The 24,684-nt window shown below is 56.3% G+C and overlaps 1 protein-coding gene across 2 annotated transcripts in view, besides 5 other annotated features; it reads right to left on the bottom strand.

The window, feature by feature from the left end:
- Positions 1-24,684, bottom strand: part of ESPNL (espin like) — a 32,948-nt gene that overhangs the window by 5,350 nt on the left and 2,914 nt on the right. The window contains exons 3-7 of one of the 2 annotated variants that reach the window (NM_194312.4): positions 23,096-23,282; positions 19,965-20,147; positions 10,904-11,035; positions 2,554-2,668; positions 204-316 (exon numbers count right to left, since the gene is read on the bottom strand). In NM_194312.4, coding sequence (NP_919288.2) covers positions 204-316; positions 2,554-2,668; positions 10,904-11,035; positions 19,965-20,147; positions 23,096-23,282 — 730 coding nt within the window. Of the gene's footprint in view, positions 1-203; positions 317-409; positions 549-2,553; positions 2,669-10,903; positions 11,036-19,964; positions 20,148-23,095; positions 23,283-24,684 lie in introns of those variants that run through there. The other variant, NM_001308370.2, reaches the window with a different exon arrangement.
- Positions 474-533: a silencer, noted in NCBI's record as "silent region_12486". NCBI's record gives its function as "represses an Ori minimal core promoter by ATAC-STARR-seq in GM12878 lymphoblastoid cells {active_cell/tissue: GM12878}" and the evidence as "EXISTENCE:reporter gene assay evidence [ECO:0000049][PMID:35858748]".
- Positions 19,468-20,378: an enhancer, noted in NCBI's record as "H3K27ac-H3K4me1 hESC enhancer chr2:239016201-239017111 (GRCh37/hg19 assembly coordinates)". NCBI's record gives its function as "activates a minimal SCP1, AML or CMV promoter by ChIP-STARR-seq in naive H9 embryonic stem cells {active_cell/tissue: H9 hESC(naive)}" and the evidence as "EXISTENCE:reporter gene assay evidence [ECO:0000049][PMID:30033119]".
- Positions 20,379-21,288: an enhancer, noted in NCBI's record as "H3K27ac-H3K4me1 hESC enhancer chr2:239015291-239016200 (GRCh37/hg19 assembly coordinates)". NCBI's record gives its function as "activates a minimal SCP1, AML or CMV promoter by ChIP-STARR-seq in naive H9 embryonic stem cells {active_cell/tissue: H9 hESC(naive)}" and the evidence as "EXISTENCE:reporter gene assay evidence [ECO:0000049][PMID:30033119]".
- Positions 20,750-20,919: an enhancer, noted in NCBI's record as "experimental_57281 CRE fragment used in MPRA reporter constructs". NCBI's record gives its function as "activates a minimal promoter by MPRAs in K562 erythroleukemia cells, with activity observed for the introgressed 2:239015745 variant allele {active_cell/tissue: K562}" and the evidence as "EXISTENCE:reporter gene assay evidence [ECO:0000049][PMID:34662402]".
- Positions 21,289-22,199: an enhancer, noted in NCBI's record as "H3K27ac-H3K4me1 hESC enhancer chr2:239014380-239015290 (GRCh37/hg19 assembly coordinates)". NCBI's record gives its function as "activates a minimal SCP1, AML or CMV promoter by ChIP-STARR-seq in primed H9 embryonic stem cells {active_cell/tissue: H9 hESC(primed)}" and the evidence as "EXISTENCE:reporter gene assay evidence [ECO:0000049][PMID:30033119]".

Here is a 24,684-nt window from a genome sequence, read left to right as displayed (position 1 = left end):
GGGACAGCTGCCGTCGCCCTGACATTCCTGTCTCTTCAGAACTCAGGGTGTTCTCGAGAGCAGCGGAGTGACGCAGGCAGCCTGGCATCCACCCTTCAGGAAAGGCCTGGCTGTGCTGGGGGCTTCTCTGGGCCCCTAAGAGGATGGGAATGGAGGCTGGCTAGGGGCCCCGGGAGACAGGAATGCAGGGGTGGAGGACGAACCTCGGGGTCAGCCGTGGCACTGGTGATGATCCTCGGAGGGGCCGGGCTGGTCATCTGCTCCCTGGGAAGAGGCTGGTCAGGATGGCCAGGCCAGGCCGGGCTGAGGGACATGGCTGCCAAGAAGAAGAAGGGTGTTGCAGAAAGGGCAAGGGCTGGGGAGCAGAGACCCAGAGCCTCGGGGATCCGGCCCTGGGGGCAGAGCTGACCTCCTGAACGATCTGCGAGCTGGGAGCTGACCCCAGCCCACCCTGCCCCAGAACACCTCGGGGGCCCCACTGGACCTTCTCTGGGGAGTCAGTGGGGCCCGCCCCCGCCTGGTCGATGGGAGAGCCTGCGGCACACCGCTGGGCCACGCCGCGGCCCCTCCTGCAGCAGGGGAGGAGCTGGGAAGGGCTTGAGGCCGCCCCTAACGCAGCTCTGCAGGCCCCAAAGCTGGTTCCCTTGCTGCCTGCAATGCTCCCTGCCCCGATGAAAACACACACTTCAGGGTCAACCTCGAGTGAAGAACACGTCTGCATCACAGCCAGGCAGACACGCACAGACACAATCACACACAGACATGCACAGACACAATCACATACACACAACACAGACACAATCACACAGACACAGACACAATCACATCACATACAGACACAGACACAATCATACACACAGACACAATTATACACACAGATACAATCACAGAAACACACACAGAACAGACACACAAACACAATCACACACAGATACACAATCACACACAGATAGACACAATCACACACATACACACAGACACACAATAACAGTGACACACACAATCACAGACACACAGACACGATCATACACACACAATCACACAATCACACAGACATACAGACACAATCACACACGCAGACACAATCACACACAGATACAGTCACACACAGAGAAACACACAGACACAGAACAGACATACACAAACACAATCACACAGAATCACACACAGATACACAGACACAATCACAGATACACACAGACACAATCATACGCAGAGACACACAGACACAAGCATACACAGACACAATCACATACACACAATCACACAGACACAATCACAGACACAATCACACAGAAACACAGAACAGACACACAGACACGGACACAATCACACACAGATACACACAGACACAATCACAGACACACACAAACACAATCACACAGATACACACAGGCACAATCACACACAGATGCATAGACACAATCACACACAGAAACAGACAGAACAGACACACAATCACACAGATACACACAATCACATAGACACAATCACACACTGACACAGACACACAAACACAAACACACATACACAGGCATAATCATACAGAGACACACAATCACAAAGACACACACAGACACAATCACACACACAATCACATACAGACACACAGACACAATCACACACAGATACACAATCATGCACAGAAACACAAACACAATACACAGATGTACAGAACACACAATCACCATACACATACATACAATACAGACACAGACACAATCACAGAGAGACACAATCACAGACACGATCACACACTCGAACACAATCACACACAGATGCACACAGACACAATCACACAGACACAGACACAATCAATCACAGAGACACACAATCACATAGACATAGTCACACACAGACACACATGAACAATCACACACATACACACAGACATAATCACACAGACACACAGACACAGACACAACATACACAGATACACACAGACACAATCACACACAGACACAATCACACACAGAGAAGGGTCCCCGTATCTATGTGTATCACACACAGAACACACAGACACAATCACACACAGAAGCACACTCCCACATGTGAGTACAGGGCCGCAGCAGGGCCCGTGGAGGAAGCTCGCCCTCACTACCTGTGGCACCTGTTGATAATTCCATTCCACTCCACTCCACTCCACTCCACTCCACTCCACTCCACTCCAAGCTGGTCACAGACCCCTAATGGTGGTGGCCCACAGCGTGAGGACTGTTGCTTGCCCTGCTAGCCCATGCATGCGAGGTGTGCTGGGGTCTGAGGGACAGCAGCCCATCCACAAGGGGCCTGGGCCCAACCGGCCCGTCTCCCCGCTTTTACCCCTGGATAAGTTGCTGTAGCTGTAAGTGCCCACCACGGAAAATGCTAATCCTCATGTTTCCAAAGCACCAAAGACAGTCAAGGAAACCTGGAAGCAACTGGGGAGGGAGGGTGATGGGGTGCCCGGCTGCCCGCAGACTTGCCCACCGGTCCAGGACCTCGGAGGGGAGGCCAGTGGCACCCTCTCCCAGGCCCATGCCCTGGGTGGCCCACTTGGGGCTGTGCACTCACGGCTGGGGTTCCCTGGCCCTGGGCCTCCTCTTCTTCCATCCTCCAGGGAGCGCCTCGTGGCCAACAGTGGAGGTGGGGGGAACGGTGGTGGTGGGGGCGTCATCAGCAGGGGCACCTGTGGGTGAATGGGCCTGGTCAGTGGGGGACCCCCGTGGGCTCTTCCCTGCTCACCTAGACAGGGGCAGGGGCACCCAGTGGACGAGCCTTGGGGAGCCTGTGCATCTGAGAAGGGCTGGGACAGGTAAGGAGGTGGCAGGAGAGGGGCAGGTCCTTGATCAGGGTTCTGTCCCAGGGTCATCTCCTGCCTGAGTGCCATCACTTCCTGGCACCCCACCTTGGTTCCCCGCCCACTTTCACCTCTATTGGGTGGGCCACCCCCATCTCAAAGCTCAGCTTCCAGGCTCCCTCTGGAGGCAGCTGAGCTCTGGGGCTCCGGGTACTGGGTTAGGGCCTGGTTTCCAGCTGTGCCCAGCGCCCTGTGGTCTCACAAAGACATGTGCACACATATGCACACACACGCATGTATGCTCTCCTGCACACACATGCATGTACTCTCCTGCACACATGCACGTACACTCTCCTGCACACACACGCACGTACTCTCCTGCACACACGCATGTACACTCTCCTGCACACACATGCATGTACTCTCCTGCACACATGCACGTACTCTCCTGCACACACATGCACGTACTCTCCTGCACACACACACATGTACACTCTCCTGCACACATGCACGTACACTCTCCTGCACACACACGCATGTACCCTCCTGCACACACACGTACACTCTCCTGCACACACACACACGTACTCTCCTGCACACACGCACGTACACTCTCCCGCACACCCCCCTCCCCGACTGCCCTGACTCCTGTGCTGTGGTCCGCCTGGAACTTCAGCCCTGACATGGGGCCTGTCAGTGTCTTGGGGGTGGATGGCCAAGTGAGAAACCTGGTGAGGAGAGGGAAGGGCAGTGGACTAGGATGGGGTCCCCAATGTGCCCACCAGCCGAGGGCATGGGCAGCCCTTGTCCCCAGCCAGCAGGGCCGCATGCCACCGTCCCTCTGGGCACCTCCCCCACTGTGCCTGTCAGACCAAAGCTCTTGTCCCTGCCCTCCAGTGGGCACTGGAAGCCAGACGTGGCCATCAGGGCTCCAGGGTCAGTGCTAGTGAGAGCCCTGGGCAGAGCAGAGCACTCAAATCGGCCACGATTCTGGACATGTGGCCTGGGCCCAGGGCCCGTCGTGGGAGGGGGAGGGACCCATGCTGCAGCTTGCTCGAATGCACGGCTGTCTCTGCCTTCAAATTCGTTCTCCTTTCCGAATGCAGGGCCCCCATTTTCCTGCTGCACCGGGGCCGGACTGCAGTGAAGTTGGCCCTGCCTGAGCAAATCTCTGGCCTCCCTAAGCCTCCCTTGCTCATGGACAAGGTGGCACAGGCTGCCTCCCAGCAAGGATGCTGGGTGGCCCCTCGGCCACCTCCCCTCCAGGACCCTCACCCCACTGGGCCACGGGGAAGGGAACACAGTCTGAAAGCCCATCTGCCCGGCCCCCACGCACCTCACTCCTTCCAGGAATCTGTGCCCACAGCCCAGGAACCCTGGTGCGCGGTGGGCTGGGGAGCAACCGCCCAGCCCCAGCCCCGGAGGCCCTCAGACGCGAACTGCAGAGTGCAGGGAGCACAGCTGTCCTGGGACACCGGGGGCTGCTGAGGCTGCCGCCCCCAGGAGTGGGAGGTGTCACATGAATATTTGAAGGCCGAGGTGTCAGGTGGCCAGGCGGGCTTGGGCCGGGTGTGGGATCTGTTACCACGGAACCTTTAACTGTCCACAGAGCAGGGGCCGGGGAGGGGATGCTCTGGGAGATGGAAGGGGACCTGAGATCCCTGGGCCCCATGAGAAGAGAGACCACCCAGAGGAATCCCCAGCCCCACCTACGGTACGGCCCCCAGGGCACAGATGGGGAAATTGAGGCTCAGAGAGGGCAAGGGGCTTTCTCAAAGCCCCACAGCCGGGCTGCCGCAGAGCCGGGATGAGAGTCTCACTGGAGACCTCAGTCTTTGCTCCCTCCAGTGCCCCTGAACAGCTGCTTCCTTGGTGGGGGACACCACAGAGGTCAGCCTCTAGGGAAAGACCAAGAACACAAAGCCTGGCTGTCCTTTCTGGGCCACTTCTCAGGGCTGTGTGTGCAGGGAGCGACTGAGGGACTAGGACTGACTTGCTGTCTGCTGAGCAACGGCGTGTTCCCCAGACTCAACGGTCCTCAGAGGAGATACAGACCTATGCGGCACAGCTGCCATCGGGACCCAACTCGCACCACCTGGGACTCGGGGGCAAGGGAACGCCTCAAAGCATGATGTGTGCTCCCTGCCGTGCTGAAGGAAGGTCCTCCGTCTTGGACCCAGGAGTCTGGTGTCTTTGTCCACGTTCAAGACATAGCGAGAGGCTGGCGTCGCTGCTTCAAGCAGGGCAGAGTCAGACTCCAGACCAGACGCGGCCAGAAAAGCCAGACACAAGTGGTGTCACCGACAGAGGTGGGCTGAGCCCTGCCTGGAGTGGGCCCCTCAACAGCAAGGCCACCCCAATGCCCCCGCACTGTCCCCTGCCCAGCCAGGACCAAGCCGGGAGTGGGATGGTGCCTCTCGCCTCCTCTCTGCCCCTGCCTGGGAGCCCTCAGCCCCCTCCCTGAGATGGAACCTGCTGTCAGTGGAGAGGGGCCACCCCTGGCAGAGTGAGGGGCTTGGCAGGATGGCAGCCGCCCTCTTATGCTGGGGAAGACAAAAGAGGTGGAAGTTAGTCTGGGGCTCAGGGGACTACCGGACTCTGGCCCCAGCACAGCATCTGTGGCCTGGGGGACCTTACTCGAGGTCCCTGTGGCCCAGCCCTGCTCCACTCCTCACCAACGAGAAGCCCGGGACGCCACCCCCTGAGCCTCCATTTCTTCACCTGTAAATCAGAGTTCTTGGAAATTTGAGGGACTATGGAGAGCACCTGGCATGGGCCTGCAAGACAGTGGCATTCAGACCTTGACGCTGCTGCCACCCTCGGTATTAGGATGGTCTCTGAGTTTAACAGGGATGAGAAGTCTGGCTGTGGCGTTTCTCCGGCAACGGGAGTAACCACACCCCTGGCTCCCATAGGAAGGCCCTGGACACGATGGAGCCTCAGGGATCTGGAGGCGCAGATGTCAGGGTCCTGTCCGTTGGGGTCTTAACATTTAGACATGTGCTGCCCCGAATCCCAGCATTGGACAGTTGCCCTGAGGCTGGTGGTCATGTGGCCCCACGGCCCCGACCGCTGTCGCTGTCCCTGGTTTTTGGTGAGATTTGAGCACCGCGGAGGCTGCATGCATTATACATGGAGAGCATCGTGGTGAGCCAGGTCACAGGCCTGTAATGCCACCCGGTCAGAGAGAATCACGGCCCACGGATGGGTGCCGGACACCCGTTGCCATGGCTGAGATTCCATTACTGGCTGTGTGGGTGCCACCCTTCCCAGCGGGAGGAGAGTGCCCAGGAAGCCTCTCACCTTCTCTGGGCCTCAGTTTCCTCATATATAAAATAAAGATGTCTTAGTACCTTTCTGGACCAAAGGGGAGGGAGTACACCTGTCCGGAGGGCCCACCAGGGCAGGCGCCTCATTGGGTGCTCGAGGAGCTTCTCCTCTACCCAAAAAACAAGGCTCTGGGCCGGGTACGGTGGATCATGCCTGTAGTCCCAGCACTTTGGGAGGCAGAGGCGGGAGGATCACTAGAACCCAGGAGCTCAAGACCAGCCTGGCCAACATGGCCAAACCCCGTCTCTACAAAAAATACAAAAATTAGCTGGGTGTGGTGGCGCACACCTGTAGTCCCAGCTACTTGGGAGGCTGGGGTGGGAGGATCACTTGAGCCTGGAAGGCTGAGGCTGCAGTGAGCTGAGACTGTGCCACTGCACTCCAGCCTGGGTGACAGAGACCCTGTGGTGAGAAAACTGGGGTTTAGAGATGCTCAGAACTTGCCAGTGCCCCATGCCCAGGAAGGGCAGCACCAGTGCTGGCGGGTGGGGGTGAGTGGGACAGCCCTGGACACCATGGGAGATGCCAGAGGCTCTGCTCCCCGAGCATGGAGGGTTCTATTCACCATTCCTGCCCAGACAGGGCACTCAGAGCCCCACAGCCAGGATCCCAGCTCCTTGGCTAGCAGAGGGGAGGGGGCCTGCCTCGAGGGCAGCCCCTGGCCTTCAAGACCGCATCCCTCATTGCGTGGAGAGGGGCCCCAAGGCCCAGGGAGGGTCAGGGCTGGCCTTCCCTAGCACCCTGAGCAGAGCCCGAGCTGGGCGGGCCCCACAGACCCAACACAAAGGAGGTACCGAGGGGGCACCTCCCACAGGGCAGGTCTCAGCACTCCTGTCCAGCATTGCTCCCCAAGCTGCTGCTGCTCTTGGAATGCACGAGTCCCCTGGGGGCAGATACAGGCTGTGCTGTCATGGGGAAGATGATGGATTTCACCACCTCTTCTGAGGCCAGCTCGGAGGCGGCCAGTGTGAGCAGCCCCTGCGGACTGCATTCCCATCAATATTGCAGCAGGCACACGGCCTCCCCCAGCCCACAGCTGACAGCCTGCCCTCCCTCAGAGGCCTGAAGAGGGGACAGCTCCAGTGGTGAGAGACGAGCACCCCCTGCCGTCACCAGACCCTCCCAGAGGGAGAAGACGGAGACAGGCTCCAGTCCCTACCCCGAGCTCCCAAACCGGCTCCTGAAGCTGCAGACTGAGGAGCCGGGAAGGCCCCGGGGTTGGGTTTTCATGCGCCGGGCAGGGGGCGCCCAGGCGCGGGCAGGAGGGGACTCTGGATGGGAAGGACGTGGCGAGCCTAACACGACCCGTCCTCCACTACCACGGGGTCTGGGGACAGAAGGCAGAGGCGCTGCTTGGACAGAAAGCCCAGGCATGGGACCCCAGAATGGCTGGGGCGGGAACAGTGTCAGGGACTCCCAGGAGGTCGGGCGGGGCTGTTCCCTTGTGCCAGGGGCTTGTGGAGGCTGGGACACCTGCAGAGCTGCTGCTGTCCCCACCTGCTAATCTCGGCTGCCATCCAGGGAGGAAGTGCAGGGAGGGGCCCAAAAAAGGCCAAGGCTGACCTAGCGGCCTTGAAGGAGCTGTGGGGAGACCCAGGCAGCCGGCACTCCTGGGCTGTGGGCCATGGAGCACCATCTTCTGTGGCAGAAGCCAGCAGAGCGCCACCACCTTCTCAGCCAAGCCAGAAAGACAGCCTTCTGCTGAACCAGGACCCGCTGGACGCCTAGCAAGCACACCATTTAGTAAATACGTGACTTCCAACAGTGACTGAATTCTAGTTCCTGAAACTGCTGCACCAGGGAAAAACCAGGGCAGAGCCGTGCTCCCCGGAGGCCACCTGAGCCACCTGTGCAGCACGGCAGGACTGGTGTGGGTTTCCGTCAGTGCCAACAGAGGCCCCAGTGGTGGCAGTGTGACAAGTGTCCAGCAGGCCCCAGGGGCTGGGGTGGGGGGGACTGTGGCTCTGCCCCAGTTGGTCCCAGATGCTCTGAGGGGACACATCAGAGAAGAGGAGGCACAGCAACCCCTTGGGGAGACAAAGGGTTTGGGGGGTGGAGGGCGATGACACCTTCCAGTCCTCAGTCCCCTCACCCGAAAAGAAGGGCCAGGTGATTTCAGAACACCTTCCTGAAGGGATGACCAGTAAAAGAGGTGTGGCAGAAACCGAGCTAGGTTAGAGGGATTTGTCACAGTAACTGCCCCAGGCCTCCCCTCCTCCAGCTCCCCTCCTCCATCCACCTCCTCCATCCACCTCCTCCATCCATTCCTCCTTCATCCACCTCCTCCATCCACCTCCTCCATCTCCCCTCCTCCACCCACCTCCTCCATCCACCTCCTCCATCCACCTCCTCCATCCATTCCTCCTTCATCTAACCTCCTCTCCTCCACCTCCCCTCCTCCATCTACCCTCCTCCATCCACCTCCTCCATCCACCTCCTGCATCCAACTCCTTCATCCACGTCCTTCATCCACCTCCTCCATTCACCCTCCTCCATCCACCTCCTCCATCCAACTCCTTCATCCATTTCTCCTCCATCCACCTCCTCCGTCCAACTCTTTCATCCATTTCTCCTCCATCCATCCTCTTCCATCCACCCTCTTCCTTCCACCCTCCTCCATCCACCCTCCTCCATCCATTCCTCCTCCATCCACCCTCCTCCATCTCCCCTCCTCCATCCATTCCTCCTCCATCCAAGGCCTTCATCCACTTCTCCTCCATCCATCCTCTTCCATCCACTCTCCTCCATTCACCCTCTTCCATCCATCCTCTTCCATTCATTCCTCCTCCATTCACCCTCCTCCATCCACCCTCCTCCATCAATCCTCTTCCATCCACTCCTCCTCCATTAACCCTCCTCCATCCACCCTCCTCCATCAATCCTCTTCCATCCATTCCTCCTCCATTAACCCTCCTCCATCCACCTCCTCCGTCCAACTCTTTCATCCATTTCTCCTCCATCCGTCCTCTTCCATCCACCCTCTTCCTTCCACCCTCCTCCATCCATTCCTCCTCCATCCATTCCTCCTCCATCCACCCTCCTCCATCTCCCCTCCTCCATCCACCCTCCTCCATCCATCCTCCTGCAACCACCCTCCTCCATCCATTCCTCCTCCATCCATTCCTCCTCTATCCACCCTCCTCCATCTCTCCTCCTCCATCCACCCTCCTCCAACCACTCTCCTCCATCCATTCCTCCTCCATCCACCCTCCTCCATCCACCCTCTTCCATCCACCCTTCTCCATCCACCTCCTCCATTCACTCTCCTCCATCCACCTCTTCCATCCATTCCTCCTCCATCCACCCTTCTCCATCCACCCTCCTCCATCTCCCACCATCCACTCTTTTCCATCCACCTCCTCCATTCACTCTCCTCCATCCACCTCTTCCATCCATTCCTCCTCCATCCACCCTCCTCCGTCCACCCTCTTCCATCCACCCTTCTCCATCCACCTCCTCCATCCATTCCTCCTCCATCCATTCCTCCTCCATCCACCTTCTCCACCCACCCTCCTCCATCTACCCTCCTCCATCCATTCCTCCTCCATCCACCCTCCACCATCCATTCCTCCATCCATTCCTCCTCCATCCACCCTCCTCCATCCATCTGCTGCTCCATCTGCCCTCCTCCAACCATCCTCCACCATCCATTCCTCCATCCATTCCTCCTCCATCCACCCTCCTCCATCCATTCCTTCTCCACCCACCCTCCTCCATCCAACTCCTCCATCCACCCTCCTTCATCCATCCTCTTCCATCCATTCCTCCTCCATTCACCCTCCTCCATCCATTCCTCCTCCATTCACCCTCCTCCATCCATTCCTCCTCCATCCACCTTCCTCCATCTATTTCTCCTCTGTCCACCTCCCCTCCATCCACCCTCCTCCTTCCACCCTTCTTCATCCATTCCTCTTCCACCCATCTCTCCTCTGTCCACCCTCCAGAGCTCTCCCCCCTCCATGTATCCCTCTCCTCATTTTTCACTCCTTTGGCCTCCCTGCCCCATTCATTCCTCCTCTGTCTGTTCCCTCCCCATCCATCCCTTCCTCTGCTCACCCTCATGCATCCACCTGCTTTTCTGTCCATTTGCTCATTAGTTCATTCAGCAAACACTTGTTGAGCTCTGTCACGTTCTAAGGGCTGGGGACCAGTGGGATAGACAAGATCCGTGTCCTTACAAATGGGGAAATGAGAGGCTGTGGGGTCCCAGGCTGAGAGACGAGAGCCAGGGCTGGAATCTGCTGCCTTCCGGCTGCTGCAGGGCTGTTGGCCGCCTTGCGATCACCTCTGGGAGGTTCCGTTCCCACTCCTGGGGCTCCTCAGTCTGACATACATCACCCACATCACCCACATCACCCACGAGGAACTCTGGCCACCGAGGCTCTTGAGTCACAGATGTGGTCTCTGTGACCCAGACGAAAGGCATGGCCTGGCCAAGTTCCAGCCACAAGCCCAGGCCGGGCCCTGGCCACAGCCATGGCCCCAGGCCCTGTCACATGCCCTCTGTCCTGACCCCTGTTACAGCCCCTGTCCTTGTCACAGCCCTGGCCCCACCCCTGTCACAGCCCCTGTCCTGGCCCCTGTCACAGCTCCTGTTACAGCCTGGCCCTAGCACTGGCTGCCCTGTGGCGCCTCAGTCCTGCCCAGGCCCTTGCTCCTGGCTCCAATGCCATGTATGAGTTGGACATGGTGAGCTTCCCAGCTGACTATGCTGCAGGTTCAGCAGTGGGGTCCTGGCTGGGGTCTGGGCCCACCCCCCATGCCTCCAGGGCAGCTGGGGACCCTGAGCCTTACCGGCTGGGCCACCTCCCGCAGGTACTGGGCGCAGTCCCGGTGTCCATGGTACTCCGCCAGGTCTGCCGCCGTGTAACCATCTTCATCCCGCAGGGAGGGGTCCACGTGGTGGGAGACTAGGGTCTGGCAGCACTGCAGTGAGGAGGGCACACATGTGACCCACCACGACACAAACCAGGTGCCCATGGGACTGGCCCTGTGCGGGCCGCTCCCCTGCCCCATGGCGCAGGCTGCCCTGATGCCCTTCCCAGCAGGGGCAGGACTTGAATCTGGGCCGTGGGGTGCCAGAGACCTGCCTAGGAGCCCCCGAGCCTCATCCCACAGCCACCCTGTCCTGGCCCAGACAGTACCAGGCACTGCTTATGAAGCAGTGCTGAGCTGACAGGCATCAGGGTGCCCCGTCCAGACCCCTCACAGCTGCCATGGCCCAAGTGTCAAATGCAGAACCAGTTTCCATGTTTGCCACCCTTGGAGGTGTGGATCAATGCACGTGAAGAGACGAGGCTCAGAGAGACAAGCAACCGGCCCCTGCCCCAGGGACTCAGGGCTACTTCCTGCCACAGCCCCACTCTCCGTGGGACCATCCTCCTGGCCCAATGAGGTTCCCCCCTAGTGCCTGGAGCACCAGCTCATGCCTGACCAAGCCGCTCACCACCTTTGCCAGCCACACTGCATGCTCCTACCCAGCCAACTTGGGGCCAGGACCCTCCTGTCTCCTTGTACCTGATGGGCTCTTGTGATGGGAATGGGGAGGAAGAGGGGAGGGAAGGAAGCTGGGGAGGGAGTCCACAGGACTGGAAGGCTAGAGGACATCTTGGCCTGTGAAGGATTCAGTTGGAAGAGGGACGGGGGACCTCAAGAATGAATTCTGTACTTTATTCTGTAAACATTTCTGTGTCTCTTTTGTAGTACCAGGGAAACACAAAAACGAACTCGAGTTAGGCGAACGCTGTGTTCACAAAACTGTGCCTTTGACCCAAATGTATCTCTGAGATAGACCAGCTGGGCCTCAGCATCTTTGGGTGACACTGAATTGAACTAAGTAAGAAGTTGTGAGACCCTTGGCCGGGCGCAGTGGCTCATGCCCGTAATCCCAGCACTTGAGGAGGCCAAGGCGGGTGGATCACCTGAAGTCAGGAGTTCCAGACCAGCCTGACCAACATGGTGAAACCCTGTTTCTACTAAATACAAAAAATTAGCCAGGCGTGGTGGCGGGCGCCTCTAATCCCAGCTACTTAGGAGGCTGAGGCAGGAGAATTGCTTTAAGCCAAGAGGCGGAGGTTGCAGTGAGCCAAGGTGGCACCACTGCACTCCAGCCTGGGCAACAACAGTGAAACTCCACCTCAAACAAGTTGTGAGACCCCAAAGGAATTTTCAGCTCCTCTCTGGACTGCAGTGCCTCACCTATAAAAGGTGCAATTAGTGTTCATTCTCTACAGATAAATACAGGTTCAGCATGCATGTGGAGCGGCGGGTGTGCCATGCCGTGAGTAAATACAACGTGACGCTGTCGTGTGTGGCAGGGGGCCTGGCAGCGAAGTCCAGTGGCCTTGAGCTCATCTGGCTCTGTGACTTGCTGGTCAGAGAACTTGGCCAGCTAACTGGGCCTGTCTGTAAAGTAAGGACACCTGCATTGATCTATGGTCGGCACCACCAGCCTCCCTTGCCCCGGCCCCTACCGACACTCACCTGCGCAGCTAGCAGGTCAGCTTGAGACCTCGAGGGCGAGTGCCTTGTCCTGGGGGAATCCTCTGGAGGGCTTCCTTCCCCTCCCTCCTCTGCCCTGAGTTCCATGGCCTCCAAGGTGGCCACAGCCTGAGGAGGCCACAGCGCCACCAGGGGAAGGTGGACAAAAAGATAGAGCCCTGCTCCCTGGAATCCCTGCAGGTCCGAAAGACCAGTGCCAGAACCGCCGCAAGATCAGCTCCAGAACCGCCACAAGACCAGAGCCAGAACCACCGCAAGACCGGAGCCAGAACCGCCGCAAGACCAGCGCCAGAACCGCAGAGCCACAGGGCTTGTCACTGCCTGAGGATGATGACCCTGCGCCTCTAAGCTGCAGACTGGGGTGTCTGCTCACGCACTGCCTGCCTTCCTGGGTGCCGTGCTGCCCTCCAGAGAGTAAGCAGCTCAGCCCGGGGGCCGCCGGCTCTGGCACAAATATGCAACCCTGGTCGTGGTGCGAAAGCTGCCACCCATAGCGTGGCCGGGTGCCCACAAGGCTTTATTTGTGGGCACTGACATTTTAACTTCAGATGAGTTTCATGTGTCATGAGATGTGATTCTTTTTCCTTTTCCCCATTTAAAAAGGGAAAAACTATTTTGAGCTTGTGGGGCCACACAAAATCAGGCGTGCGCACACCCCTTCCCCGGGGGCTGCTGGGAGGCTTGAACCAGATAACGCCTGAAGGCTCCTGGAGGCCCAGAAGGGCTGAGCCAGTGGCTGGTGTGGCTGAGGAAGCAGGAAGCATTTGTCAGATGTGCAAGGACACCGGGGCTGGGGAGGCTGGGGCAGGTCGCTGAAGCCAGTCGCTGGAGAGAGGCACTGCTCCCGGAGGCTCTGGGCTGGGGGAATGGCAAAGGTTTGCCAGGGCGCGGTGGGTGTGTGGGTGGGTGGAGGCGGAGCGTCCCCAAGGAGCTGTTGCTGGGAAGAGGAGGCCAGGATGCGGAGGAGGGGAGTTACGGGGTCTGCAGGAGTATGAGGGGTGTCACGGCAGAGGAAGGGGGACAAGTGTCAGACCTGGCCCCAAATGGTGCTGGGGAGAGAGGGCAAAGCCCTGATAGGAACAGAGCCATGGGGAGGAGGAAGGGAACCTCTCCCCCAGAGTGACGGACCCCATCACCGCTGGGATTGTCAGCAGAGGGTGGGTAGTGACAGACAGAACTCTGTCTGGAAGTCTGTGCAGAGGCCACAGCAGTGGAAAAGCAGGTGAGCAGATGGATCCACTCCAGGGAGGAGAGAACCAGGTGGGTCAGACCAACCCACTGCCCAAGGACGTGAAACACGGATTCACTGTAAAAGTCACCTGCTGACAGCCTCAGTAAGGTAACGCAGAAGTCAGGAGTGACACGGCCACACTCAGGAGAAAAGGAAAGCCTGGGGGGTGAGGGGTGTCGGGGAGCCCAGCACTCAGAACTGCTCTTGCCCTGAGCCTGGGCTGACGACGGAAGAACAGTTATATGATGTGCCGTCCTCCCGCAGCCTCAGGGGACCAGGGAGGCCAGGAACCGTGCGGGTTCCATCAGGGGTGGGGGCTCTGGTTGACCACCTCCCGATGTGGCCAAGGGCTCCACCCTCAGAGAAAATGGAAGCCAGACGCCAGCCAGGCCCCTGGTTCCTGTCACGGAGGTGGTCCTGGGAACTTCCTGCCTGGAATGCGGATTAAGATGATCCTAGGCCCACATGTGCCCAGCAAAGGCAAATAAGATATTGCTAAGGCCTCCAGTTATGCCTACGCTTCATTTTTCATGTCAGCATATGTCAACAAAAATAAAAATACAAGGAAATAAAATACCATGAACAAGAACCAGAAGACCCAGCCCACAAAGAAATAGAAATAAAGCTCTGAGAACTAACAGACAAAAAACAACTGTGCTTACTACTTTTAAATAAAGAAAAATCCAGGCAGCCAGATCACATCTCCTCAAAATAACAGAGTAAAAATAAACCCCTAAACATTAGTAATTATACTGACTATAGATGGTCTAAATGCACCAATAGGTAAAGACTGTCAGGCTGATGAAAAAAATTAAACATGACTGCATATGGTTAACCAGAGGTACTGGCAAACATAAGGATTCAGAAGGCCGAAAGCAAAGTATGAATAAGCTTCACCATCAAATAAGTATAGAAAGAAAAGTCATGTGTATACATATATCAGATAAAACAGACTAGATATGGGGTTCAAAATATATAAAACAAACGGTGACAGGATTGTAGGGAAACACAGACAAATCCAGAATAATAGCCAGGAATGTTCACACAATTCTCTCGATCCACTTGAAATCCAGTAAACTAAAATGTGTACCTATGGAGATCTGAAGAACACAATGACATAATGGACATGTAGCGAACAGTCTGCAAACTCTACAGTCTTTCCAAGAACATATGCAACGTTGATAAAAATTGACCATACACGGGGCAATAAAGTAACTTATCAAAAAATCAAAGGATTGAAATGACCAGAGCATATTTTCTGACCACAATGCAATTTGGACAGAAATTAATAACAAATAGATAACTAGAAGGAACACCTTCGTATTTGGAAATTAAGAAACATAATTCCAAGGAATCCCTAGAGCAAATAAGAATCAAAATGGGAATTAGAAAATATTTTTTAACTGAACAATTATCAAACAGTGGGATACAGCTAAAGCAGTACTTAGAGGAAAATTTATAGCCTTCAATAAATATATTAGAAAAGAAAAAAGGTTGAAAAGTAAGTGAGGTAGGCACCCATCTCAGTAATTTAGGAAAGAAAGTAATAACAAAGATAAATGCAGAAATTAATGAAATAAAAAACAAACATACATTGGAGACAATTAATGCTTTTTGGAGGACCTTGAATAAGTTAAAACCTGATCGTTGGAAAAACTACTGACTAACATCTAGTGAGGCTGATTGAGACAAAAAAAGAAACACAAAAATACCCAATATCAGGAATTAAAAGTGGGGAAATTACTACATACAGACAATAAAGGATCATGAGGATATTAAAAATAACTTCATGCTAATACACTTAACAACTTAGACAAATTTGATTCCTAGAACATTTCTAGGAAATAAATCCTAGAAAAATATAATTTGCTGAAACCAACACATAAAAAATAGAAAGCCCTAGTAGTTCTATAATTAAATAAATTGAATTAGTAATAAAAAACCTTCCCTCAAAGAAACAGCCAGATCCAGAGGATTTCACGAGTGAATTCCACAAAACCTTTAAAGAAAAAAATAAGTCTAATATAACCAAAATGTCTCAAAAAATAGGAAAAGAGGAAACACTCCCTAATTCATAGCATATTTTGATACCAAAATCTAACAAGGATAAAACAAAAAAAGGACATTCCATGCCAATTTTACTCAAGAATATAAGGCCAAAAATCCTAAACAAAATGTTAGCAAATTGAATTCAGCTATATTTAAAAGGAATAATATGTCATGTTGAATTTATTCCAGGAATGAAAGGTTGGTGTAACATTTTAAAGTAATCAGGGTAGATCCAGGTATTCTAATGCTGGGTATACATATCCAAAAGATTTGAAGGCTGGATCTCAGAGATATTTACACACCCCTGTTCATGGTAGCATGATTCACAATAGTCAAAAGGCAGAAGAACCCAAATGTCCATTAGCAGATGACTAGAGAAAGAAAATGTGGTATATACATACAATGGAATATTATTTAGCTATAAAAAGGAAATTCTGATGCGTTACAACAGGGATGAACCTTGAGGACATTATGCTAAGTGAACTAAGCCAGAGACAAACGGATAAATACTGTACAATTCCACTTATATGAGGCATCCTAAGTCATCAAGTTCATAAAAAACAGAAAGTAGGATGTTGCTGGCCAGGGGCTGGGAGATAAGGGAGACGGAGAATTGCTGTCTGATGGCCATAGCGTCTCAGTTTTGCAAAATGAAAAAGTTGTGGAAATTCTGCTGCACGACAACGTGAACAGACTTAGCGCTGCTGAAGTGTGTGCTCGAAAATGGCTAAGATGGTAAATTTTATGTTACGTATTTTTTAATCACAATTTAACAATTAAAAAAATAATTAGTGTAATTCACACCATTCAAAGGATAACTAGGCCGGGCACGGTAGCTCATGCCTGTAATCCCAGCACTTTGGGAGGCCGAGGTGGGCGGATCATTTGAGGTCAGGAATTCAAGACCAGCCTGGCCAACATGGTGAAACCCCGTCTCTACTAAAAATACAAAAATTAGCCAGGTGTGGTGGTGCGTGCCTGTAATCCCAGCTACTCAGGAGGCTGAGGCAGAGGTTGCAGTGAGCAGAGATCGAGCCTCTGCACTCCAGCCTGGGCGACAGAGTGAGACTCCGTCTCAAAAAAAAAAAAAAAAAAAAAGAATAACTAATGTGATATACTGAAACACAAAACCTATTAAAAGTAACCATCATTCCTCTTTAGAGGCTGCTGGAGGATCAACTCATTGTTTTGACATTTTATTTTTAAATGGGAAAAAGCTGTCAGAGCCAAGAGGCATCTGAGGAGACTTGATAATTAAATATCATATGGCATCCTAAATGGGATCCTGGGACAGAAAAGGGACACTCGGTATCATATGGCAACCTAAATGGGATCCTGGGACAGGAAAGGGAAACTCGGTAACATATGGCATCCTAAATGGGATCCTGGGACAGGAAAGGGACACTCGGTATCATATGGCATCCTAAATGGGATCCTGGGACAGAAAAGGGACACTCGGTAACATATGGCACCCTAAATGGGATCCTGGGACAGTAAAGGGACACTCGGTAACGTGTGGCACCCTAAATGGGATCCTGGGACAGAAAAGGGACACTCGGTAACATATGGCATCCTAAATGGGATCCTGGGACAGAAAAGGGACACTCGGTAACATATGGCATCCTAAATGGGCGGTGTGGATATATCCTGGGACAGAAAAGGGACACTCGGTAACATATGGCACCCTAAATGGGATCCTGGGACAGAAAAGGGACACTCGGTAACATATGGCACCCTAAATGGGATCCTGGGGACAGAAAAGGGACACTCGGTAACATATGGCACCCTAAATGGGATCCTGGGACAGAAAAGGGACACTCGGTAACATATGGCACCCTAAATGGGATCCTGGGACAGAAAAGGGACACTCGGTAACATATGGCACCCTAAATGGGATCCTGGGACAGAAAAGGGACACTCGGTAACATATGGCACCTTAAATGGGATCCTGGGACAGAAAAGGGACACTCGGTAACGTGTGGCATCCTAAATGGGATCCTGGGACAGAAAAGGGACACTCGGTAACGTGTGGCATCCTAAATGGGATCCTGGGACAGAAAAGGGGCACTCGGTAACGTGTGGCATCCTAAATGGGATCCTGGGACAGAAAAGGGACCCTCGGTAACGTGTGGCATCCTAAATGGGATCCTGGGACAGAAAAGGGACACTCGGTAACGTATGGCATCCTAAATGGGATCCTGGGACAGAAAAGGGACACTCGGTAACGTATGGCATCCTAAATGGGATCCTGGGATAGAAAAGGGACATTCGGTAAAAGCTAAGGGCATCTGAATGAAGTGTGGGCTCTAGTTAGTAACACTGTGCTAGTTTGGGTTCACTAATTGTGACAAATGTACTGTACTAACATAAGTTGTCAAGAATGGAGGAAAAGGCTGGGCATAGTGGCTCACACCTGTCATCCCAGCACTTTGGAAGGCTGAGGTGGGAGGATTGCTTGAGCCCAGAAGTTTGAGGCCTGCCTGGGCTCAGCACAGTGAGACTCCCATCTCTACAAAATTTTTTTAAAAAATTAGCTGGGCGTGGTGGCGTGCGCCTATAGTCCCAGCTACTCAGGAGGCTGAGGCAGGAGGATTGCTTGAGCCTAGGAGTTAGAGGTTGCACACGGTGATGACACGCTGTTGTGTGTTTTGAATTCCACAGTAAGAAATTTAAAAGGGAAGAAGTCTCTGTTTTGAGGCTTGAGTAATTTTCTTTTTACAGAGGGAAGCTGAGGAGCCAGAGGAGTCAGCTGATTTATTAAACTTCTTGGGCTGCTATCAAATATTTCATTTGAAAGAAGATTTTGCTGCTTTAAAAAAGCTTAAAAACCCCTGGCCAGGGGCCACTTACCCCTTCTGAGCCGAGTCTCCTGGGGCCTGCCTGAGCCACTCAGCAGAGCTCCTCCTGCCACCAGCCACCTGTCAGGGACATGCCTCCCAGGGCCTGCGGGTCACCCCTCCCCCCACTTCCTATCTCTGTCTAGGTTGGGGACAGAGACTGGGGAGACAGAGCTGGGTTGTGCAGAGCTGAGTGGACGGGGGATGGTGAGAGGAAGGGCGGTAGCTGGGGGGCCTCAGAGAAAGATGCTTTCAGCAGCGCTGCCGGGAGGGGGGATTGGGTTTCCTCTGCATTCTGCCAAAGGCTCAGCTCTGCAGGGAATGCGGTGCCTTCCGATGGCTCTGCGGCTGCACCGTGTGTGATTGTTTCAATGGCACTGCTGAGACTGGGTGACCCGGGGCCCCAGGAAGACCTTGGGTTCTAGCTGGGAGCAGTTGTCTAGACTTGCAGACCCAGAATGCGATGGTTGGTTGCACTTCCACTTAAAATCCCCCCAGACTAGCCTTGCAGAGGCCTGGAGCACGCTGCTGGCTCCCGACTGAGCAGCCTGGGCCCAGGAGGCTTTGGAAGAACGTGGGGAACCAGGAGACTTCATGGAGGTGAACAGACCCGACACTGCTCAGGACCGGATGGGGCTGGGGAGAAGTAAACTGTGTGCATTCTCCTGAGATGGGGCCTTGCCTTTAGATGAGGTCGACATCGGGTGGGCACCCGGGCAGGGCCAGCAGCTGATGGCTGCACCCACCCTCAAAGGCTGGGTGTGGTTCTGATGTTGTTGAACATTTGAATACCATCCCTGCCTACGTGGGGTTTTTGGATGTCGTGTCCTTGAGGCTGGGCCATGTGAGCCCCCAAGATTTATCTGGGTAATAGCAAAGGGGCTGACATCACACCCCTGCCACAGCTCTACTCGCAGGCTGCTCACAGCAGAGGGTCCGCCCCAAGGGCTGTTCTGAGAAGACTGTCACCAAGACCAAGCCCTGACCAGGCACGAGGGAGTTTCTGCGCGAAGGGAGGGAGGATGGTACGCAGGACGAGAGCATAGAGCTTGGATCTTGCCACTTGACCCTGGGATCTTGACCTTGGGCAAGTGACAGTGCCACTTAGAGCCTCAGTTTACCTATCTGTAAAAGAGGGTCATCACTCTTACAGGGTTGCTGTGAGGGTCAGTGACACAGCACTGGGCATGGCTGGCACTTGTGACTGCTCACCCTGTCTCCCTCACGCCCACCTTACCTCCATCTGCCCGTTCTCTGCTGCGTCGTGGAGGGGGGTCCCACCCCAGGAGTCTCTCAGGATGGGGGTACCCATGAGCAGGAGTCGGTCTAGAATGGGCGTGTGGCCGCCTCGGGCTGCAAAGTGCAGGGCCGTGGCCCCCTCATTGTCCCGTGCCGTGAGTCCGATGTCGGTGAATGTGACCTGGGGAAGGAGGGGCAGAGGGAGCAGCCATCCTCCCAGGGAGGAGGCACACAGAGTGGGAGGGGCTTGGAGCAGAAGTGAAAGTGGACTCTGGCTGTACCTCTCGGGGCACAGGGTACAACCTCAGGAAACCCCGGACAGGGCTGGCTGAGCACGTGCGTCCCCGTCACCCTGGGGCAGCAGGACCTCTGGGGTCCAGGTGGGGGTGAAGTGAGCGCAGTAGCTTAATTTGCAGACACCATGGTCCCAAATCTGAAAGCAAACATCATGGCAAATGAAAACACCTAGGGAAGAGTAAACATGTGTTTGCTATGAAGGAAGGAGAGGAGAGAAGGAAGGGAGGGAGGGGCGGGGAGGGAAGAACTTCATTTGGCCCGAGGGTGGCGCTGCCTCGTTGGGCATTTGCACTGAGCCCCTTTGCTGGAGCAGCGGGTCCTGTGGCCTCCCTCCAGGGCCTGGATTCGAGCCAGGCAATGAGGTTTGGGGCCCTGACCTGCCGGCCACCACCGCTGGAGCGACTTGAGGCCAGCCCTGCCTCTGGGGCCTCATCTGCCTTCTGAAGGGCCCCTGCTGTGGTCCACAGCACCAGCCAGGTGACAGTCCTCTACACTGACTTGCGGAAACCTGTGCAGCTGGGACAGACATGGGGCCTGGGCCTGCCAGTGGGACGCGGGGGTCTCCTAGGACAGCCTGCCTTCCTGACAGACGGGTGATGGGCGTGCTGGCTCCCCGCCTTCACCCTCCTTCCTGCCTTGAGTGTGCCCGCTTTCCCCACTGGGGAGGCCACGAGAACAGCAGAGCCGCCAGCAGCCCGTCGCCTTCGGTGTGAGTGCCTCCTAGCGCAGCCAGGGCGCTCCTGACTGATCAGTACTCAGAAGTGTCTGTTGGGCAAAGCACAATGAGCTGGAAACAGAGACAGGGACAGGGCTGCCGTGGGGCTCCTTCGCATCTGGAGTGGCCTCTCTGGCCCTGAGACCCCGAGGCCTGCCCGCTTTCTCCCCAGGAAGGCCGCTCATGCCTCAGCACAGTCCTAGGGGTTCAGTGGACACCCTGTTTCCCTCCCTCAGGACCCCCTGTGGTGAGCTGCTGCTGCTCTGCCCACTGTGTGCAGCCGCCGCTCATCCCAGGAGCCAGGCATAGTTTGGGAGGCTGAGGTCTGGAGTGAATGGGTCAGAACTGCTGGAGGGGCAAAGGGAGGATGGCCAGGGTGGGACCCAGGTCCAGAGAGCTTCCTTTGGGGTAGGCTGCTCCAGCAGGAGGAGCTGGAGAGGCAGCCCCGGGGTGGGGAGGGGCGCACTTGCAGGCGAGGCACCGGGAGGGGCTGCAGTCTCCACGAAGGGAGGCTAGAGGCCAATTCAGGCGGCCTTGGGGACAAAGTGGGCAGGCAGGCAGCAGCCTGAGGATCTTGGGGCCACGGGGAGCAGGCCAGCGCCATCCCGAGCGCCCGGGGACACGGTGAGCAGGCGGGACCCGTCCCAAGGGCCTCAGGGCCATGGTGAGCAGCAGGCGCCATCCTAAGGGACCAGGCCCCCTGTTCCTTCACTTGCCCACCCATTGCTTCAGTAAACATCTCCCGAGCCTGACTGCGTGCCAGGTGCGGGGAACGTAGCAGGTGGTGAAGTCCTGCACCCACGGAGCTCCTGGCGCCTACACGCCGGCTGGTGGAAACCACCACCAAGGCCAGGAGTCAGACACGCCGTGTGCCTGGTGCTGGTGCGCCGGTGGGGAGGAAAGCAGGAGTGAGGATGGTCGGGGCAGGCGGCTCCCCCCATAAACCAGCTGGGCAGGGAAGGCCCCAGGGGCAGCTGGGGAGCTGTGTGCCAGGCACAGGGTGCAGTGCATGCAAAGGCCCCGGGGGCAGAGCCAGCCTGGCTTGCTGGAGAAGGAGCTGGACTGAGTGGGTGGGAGCCAGGAGACAGGAGGCCCCAGGCAAGCATGGGAGGTCTGGGGGCAGGCAGCTCTCACTTCTCCATCAGCAGCCACAGTGACCTTCCAATATGCCAGTCAGATCCTACTGCTCCTGGCTCCGAGCCTTCCGTGGCTCCCCAGGACCCTCAGGAAAGAGCCCCGGTCCTCCCAGCGCCTCTGTCTGCCTTTCCTGCCCGCCCCCGGGCCCCATGGGCCAGGCTCTCCCCGCCTCTGAATGACCTGTGCCCCCCTCAGGAAGTTGCTTTGGGCCCCACTCCTTGTCCGGCCGCCTCCTGTCCATCCTCAGTTCTGCCCCCAAGTCCCCTCCTCAAAGAGGGCCTCCTCTACTCTTTTTTTTTTTTTTTTTTTTGAGACAGAGTCTCACTTTGTTGCCCAGGCTGGAGTTCAGTGGCGTGATCTTGGCTCACAGCAACCTCCGCCTCCCAGGTTCAAGCACTTCTCCTGCCTCAGCCTCCCGAGTAGCTGGGGTTACAGGTCCCACCTGCTCTGCTTTTCTGTTGTAGAGGCAGGAAGTCCCCAGCCCCCCCTTGAAGATGGCACCTCCCCAACCTCAGCCACTCTGCTCTGGGGTCTCAGGTCTTCCTTCCCCAAAGAGGCCAGAAGTGGAGGAAGGTGGGGGCTGGCCTGGGGATCTCAGGCGGCAGGGCCTGAACAAGTGGTCGAGTGGCCCAAACTGGGCACTGCTGGTGTGGGCGCAGACAAAGCACCCGGGCCACCACCAACTGTGAGAGCACCTGGGAGGCCTACCAGGACTTCCAGGGAGAGAGGGACTAGGAGAGCCCCAGGGGAGCCGTGGCACGACCCCACAGAGCAGAGTGCACTACAGGTGGTCAAAACTTCTGGGGCCCAGCCTGGCCGGAGCTGCAGATTCTCGGGAGCCATGGACCAGCTCATCGGATGCCCCAACAGCCCTGCGTGTCCCCAGTTCCCTCTGGAGCCCCCATCCAGGCTCCAGGCTCTGCTTGCTGGAGGGCCCACACTCCCTGGATGTCCCCTTCCCACCTCTGGCACCCACTTACCAGCCAGACGACGAGGGAGTAGTGGCCACGGGCGGCGGCAGCGTGCAGGGCGCTCATGCCATCGAGAGCACGAAGGTGCACGTCAGCGCCACAGTCCTTCACCAGGAACTGGGCCAGGTGCAGGTGGCCCTCCTGGCAGGCCAGGTAGAGTGGGGAGGCGCCACTGCGTGTCCGCCGGTTCACGCTGCTGCAGGGAAGGGAGGGTTTGGAGGCCCAGTCCCTGCCTATGGCTGAGCCCATCCCTCGGCTGCTTGGACTTCACCGCTGCCCCCTGGCCCTGCCCGTGATGACTGAGTTTCCCACATGCTTTCCAGCTGCTGCTGCGGGGTTCCCCCCTCCAGGTTGCTCCCCCAGGTGGCTGTGCAACCCCACTCTCCTATCCTGTCCTTTTCTGGGGACTCCTGGGTCCAGGTCTGAAACACGCATCTTCTTAGACCTGAGGGGTCACAGTCTTGGCTTCCAGGTTCTCAGTTGTCCCAGTGGAGGCCCAGGATTGACCCCCGACTCCCTTAGGGTTTCCCTCTGCCCTGTGCCCTGTGGCAGGTGGCGCTGGGTGCCTGGTAGCTGTGGAGCTGAGGGTTGCACTGGCTGGGCTGGGGTCACAGTGGCGGCGTGGAGGCAGGGCCAAAGTCACCGGGGAGGGTCAACTCTCGGGCTCGTGCCTGCTTTCCCGCCAAGCCTGCTGACCACGCCACCCTGTCCCAGACCCTCCACCTCCGGGCCCTTCCCCTCTCAGGAGGGGAAGCTGAGGAGTAATGAAGGGATCTCACGAGCACCCCCACACCTGCTCCCCACTTCTGATAGACGAATCTGAGCAACTCAGTGTCCACCCCAGAGGAGAGTCCAGTCACAGGCCTCAGCTGGCAGAGGGGAAACAGAGGCTGGGAGCTGATTTGTCCAGGGACTTGCACCTGGGTTTGAATTCCCCTCCCCTCACAAAGTCCCCCAGTACCAGCCCCCTAGCAGCCTCTCCCCTGCTCCTAGCAAGGGGGACACAGGACCTTGGTGGCTGCTTTCTGGCCTTGGACCACACAGGGATCGTCCCCTGCACCTGCAGAGCCTGAGGGTCCACTCCCTCATGGAATGTGCCCCAAAGGGCTGCCAGTATGCCTTGGTGCCCTTCTCAGGGGAGGATCCGTGCTTTCACCAGACTCTGCCAGGTGTCCTTGACTGCATCCAGGGTTGGAACAGGTGGTGTCCAGCGCGGTGGCTGGGAGCAGGCCATGATGCAGCCAGTGGGTCGGGGGCAACTGGAGGGGGCATGGTCTGGCCAGGGGCAGCCACCTCTCGGCTGCTGCTGGTCAATGCCAGGCGGGAACTAGGCCGGGGGTACAGGACCTTCCCATTTGTGTGTGCGTGTGTGCGTGTGTGTGTGCATATTAACATGAAGCCTCCTGGTTTTCTTCTTTTTTTTGAGACATGGTCTTGCTCTATCGCCCAGGCTGGAGTGCAGTGGCACAATCCCAGCTTACTGCAACCTCCGCCTCCCAGACTCAAGTGATCCTCCCACCTCAGCCTCCTGAGTTGCTGGGACTACAGGCAGTCACCACCATGCCTGGCTAATTTTTAAATAAATTTTTTTGTAGAGA

This window comes from Homo sapiens, chromosome 2, assembly GCF_000001405.40.
Source record: "Homo sapiens chromosome 2, GRCh38.p14 Primary Assembly".
NCBI classification, from domain to species: domain Eukaryota; kingdom Metazoa; phylum Chordata; class Mammalia; order Primates; family Hominidae; genus Homo; species Homo sapiens.
The sequence above is the reverse complement of the archived record's forward strand: the minus strand, read 5'-3'. Positions and strand labels throughout refer to the sequence as shown.